We start from the raw sequence: 4,315 nt of genomic DNA on the forward strand, positions 1-4,315 counted from the left end.
AAGCTGCCAGCTATGTTTTTAGTTAGTTGAGTAAATAAGTTTTTGATTGATGGAGGAAGCTGTCACTGACTGATTAAAATGCTTATAGAATGACTTATAAACCCAGAATTGCAGGGTTGGATGCATTTGAGTCCTTCTAGTCTTTTTGGCAATTAGTAGTGGAACTCCAAGGCCTGCTCCTTGTCTATTAACCCATAATAGTGCTGTCTGTCCTGTAGGCCAAAAAGATAGCTCTGGCTTTAGAAGAGTAAAATTTAAAGGATTGCGTGTCCTTGTCTTAGAATTTGCTTTGGTTGACATACTATGTAGCAGAGCAGTCCTTCCTGAATATAAGTGTTGGAGTTGTGTTAGCATAGACCACTGAATGTTACAGTCTGGACATCTGATTTGTGTTTTTTCATACCTATGTTTAGGGCTGCTTCTGCTAAGCCTCTTTTGTGTTAAACCATTGGAGACAGCTTCTGTTTTTTTAGGATTAGGAACATATGCAGCATGGCAGGAATTAAAGTACAAGGAAATAGGCCCTTTATAGGAGGGAGAGGCTTCTTTGGTTTGAGGTATAAGTTTCTTTTTTTCTTTTCTGATTTAATATGTACCTCAAACCAGAATTCATAAGGTAAGAGCTCAGGGTCATAACATACATATAGCTGATTATTTCCTCAGTCACAGAGTGAATAGGTGGTCTGGTTGTATGTGCATGTTCCTAACTTGGTTTCTGTACATTCATAGTAGGTATGGCACAGTAGAGTTTTAACTATGATATTTTTTACCTAGGTAGTGTGTACACAGTGTGGGCATCCGTCTAAAGATTTTTCCCCTTCTAGTATAGGCAGAAATGGTAACAACATCAGTGTATGTATTAGAAACATGCTTACACTACGCATGAGCACGGCAAACCTTCCTCTGGGCATAGACATTTGCAGCATTTGCAGTAATAACATAACAACATAAAAATCAGTATTAACAGAATTATAACTAGGGTTATAAATTGTATTCATATTTACTTATTCAGTGATGGCCCTCTTAGCTTCGGCTGTGTGTGGACTAGTCAGATTCCAGGATGTGACTAGAGCAGAGCTTGCAGGATTCTCAAGCTTCAGCTCTGGGTAGACTGACCAGTCTCCAGTGTGGTCAGAGCAAGGCAATTGTCCTTCTTACTGGTGGTTGGGTTTCGCCGTAGGCCCATTCGGGTGGGGTGATCTGGGTCTTGTTGGCTAATCCAATGGTCATCATTGGGAGTCACTGCTGCCACTGGTTTCAGTCGGCTATGGTGAATCCAAGGTGTGACAGCTGTAACTTTAAAAGCAGTAGGAGTAGACATGATTATAATATGGGGCCCATCCCATAAGGGCCCCAGGGTTGTTGAATTTCACCTTTTAACCCAGACAGAGTCCCCCGGCTTATGTGGATGCACTGGGTCTGTTAGACTTACAGGTATTCTTTTTCTTATCCAGCTTTGCCCCTCCTGCATTGTTACTCCTAAAGCCTGCATCTGTCTTCTAAGAATTAACTTTTCTAACTACTTTAAATTCCCTCTAATTTGATTAATAATTGGGGGTGGCCTTCCGAACAATATTTTATAGAGCAAATACCCAGTTTGTTTTGTAGGTGTACACCTGACCTGGAGGAGGACCATGGGCAAGACATGATCCCATCGTGAGTTTCCTGGCAAAACTTTTTTAGTAGCTGTTTGAGTGTCCAGTTCATCCATTTTACCTTCCCTGAGCTCTGTGGTCAGTAGTCTGTATGCAGTTTCCATCTGATCTTTAAAAGTTGAGTCAGCTGTTGTACTACATCTGCCACAAATGCAGGACCATTGTCTGATCCTAGGGTTAAAAGAAACCCAAATCTTGGTATGATGTCTTTTAGTAGTACCTTTGTCACCTCTCTTGTCTTTTTAGTCCTGGTGGAGAAGGCCTCAATCCACCCCAAGCAGGTGTAAACAAACATTAGCATATATTGGTAACCTCCTGCTAGAGGTAACTCAGTAAAGTTTACAAGCAGGTTTTCACAAGGCACAGCCCCTACTTCCTGAATTCCTGGAGGTCGAGTAGGTCCTTGTTTTGGATTATTCTGGGCACAGGATAGACCTTGTTTACAAACAGTACAGGTGATGGCAGAGAGCTGTGGCACATAGAAATGCCAACCTATCAAAGTTTCTAGGGCTGTCCTTCCAATGTGTGTTCCTTGATGGATCTGTGTCACAAACCTTGGGGCTATTGTCCCTGGGATGGCTAGCCTCCTGTTAGAGAACAGCCACCATCCACCTTTAATATATTTTTTTGTTTTCTGACCAAACCAAGTTTTTTTTACTGAAGAGTAATTGGGTACCTCCAGCAAAGGGGGCTCTATAAGGAGAGGAATTGATAAAGTTTTTTTTTTCAGGTAAAGCCTTGCTCATTGCTGCCCGCCCAGCCTCTCGGTCTACCTTTCTGTTGCCCTGCATCTCAGCTTTTCTCAATTTGGTGTCCTTTGCAATGAATGACAGCCACTTTCTCTGGAGCCCATATGGTTTTTAATAATTGCAATTTTTTTTTTTTTGCCTTTAGTAGTCAAAACTCCTGTCTCTTTGTATATTGTCCAACGGGCATGCAGGATTGTAAAAGTATATCTTGATCAGTATATATGTTTACTTTTTTTCTTGGCCAATAACGGTGCTCTGGTTAATGCTATTAATCTAACCTTCTGAGCAGAAGTCCCAGAAGGTAAGGCCTGAGCCTCAACCACCGAGTGCTGGGTCACTACTGCGCATACCCTGCATATCATACCCCATCTGTTATGAAACTGCTGCCATCAGTGAAGTATTTAACATCTGAGCTCTCCAAGGGGGTATCTCTGAGATCTTCCCAGCTCTAGAACACTTTGTCCACCGTATTTATGCAACAGTGGGGAAGATCCTGCCAGCAGTGAGGCAATCCACCGTCCTTTCAATCAGGTTTCTCCACAGGCAGCAGGGTAGCTGGGTTTAAGGTATTTACAGTCTCTAGTGTTATCTGGGGATTGTCATACAGAAGCCCTTGATACTTTAGCATTTTAGAATTGGACAGTCAACGATGTCCTCTTTGCTCCATTAAGGTGATTACAGCGTGTGGCACCCTAACTATTAACTTTTGACCTAGGGCTAGCTTGTTGGCATCTTCTATAAGGATTGCAGTAGCTGCCAACGCCCTGAAGCAGTGGGTCCAACCTAAGGCCACCAAATCCAGTCTTTGGGTAAGTATGCTACCAGCTGATGCCAAGAACCCAACAATTGAGTTAAGACTCCGACTGTCATTCCCTTTTGTTTATCCACGTACAAAAAGAAGGACTTTTTTTTTACATCTGGCAACACTAGCGTCGGAGCTTGGATGAGAGCTTCCTTTGTATCTTTGAAGGCCTTTTCTTGTTTCTTTTTCCACAGGAGCAGCCCTCTTTTTTTTTCTTCGGTAGTCTCATATAAGGGCCTTGCTATAAGGGAGAAGTTGGGAATCCAGGTTCGGCAGAATCCCGCTGCACCTAGAAATTCCCTGACCTGCCACCTTGTAACTGGGGTGGGCAATGCACATACAGCCTCCTTGCATGCACTTTTAAGTCTGCACTGGCCTTGGAATACCATGAATTCTAGATATTCAATCTCCCGAAAGCAGACTTTTGCCTTGTCCTTGGACACTATGTAACCAGCTTCACGCAGCAAGTGAAGAAGCCTCTCTGTTCCTTAGAGGCATTTCTCCCTCATGGGGGCAGCGAAGAGCAAATCATCAATGTGTTGTAATAGCACACAATTGTCACTAGGTGGCGCAAAAGCCTCAAGGTCGGTAGCCCAAGCCTCCTCGAAAATAGTAGAATTCTTTTTTTATTTTATTTTATTTTTTTAATTATTATTACTATTATTATTATTATTATTATTTTAATTATACTTTAAGTTTTAGGGTACATGTGCACATTGTGCAGGTTAGTTACATATGTATACATGTGCCATGCTGGTGCGCTGCACCCACTAACTCGTCATCTAGCATTAGGTATATCTCCCAATGCTATCCCTCCCCCCTCCCCCCTCCCCACCCCAGTCCCCAGAGTGTGATATTCCCCTTCCTGTGTCCATGTGATCTCATTGTTCAATTCCCACCTAGGAGAATTCTTAAACCCTTGTGGCAGCCTTGTCCAGGTATACTGCGATTGTCTCCACTGGAAGGCAAATATAGGCTGATTTTGGGAAGCAGTCTCAAGGAAAAGAAAGCGTCCTTTAAGTCCAGACACGTGAACCACGCGGCCTCAGCAGGAATCTACCCCAACATTGTGTATAGGTTGGGTACTATGGCATGGATAGTGACAGTGG

At 42.9% G+C, this 4,315-nt stretch overlaps 1 annotated feature.

Moving 5' to 3' along the window:
- Positions 3,667-3,716: a silencer, noted in NCBI's record as "silent region_4343". NCBI's record gives its function as "represses an Ori minimal core promoter by ATAC-STARR-seq in GM12878 lymphoblastoid cells {active_cell/tissue: GM12878}" and the evidence as "EXISTENCE:reporter gene assay evidence [ECO:0000049][PMID:35858748]".

This window comes from Homo sapiens, chromosome 12 (assembly GCF_000001405.40).
Source record: "Homo sapiens chromosome 12, GRCh38.p14 Primary Assembly".
Classification (NCBI taxonomy): Eukaryota; Metazoa; Chordata; class Mammalia; order Primates; family Hominidae; genus Homo; species Homo sapiens.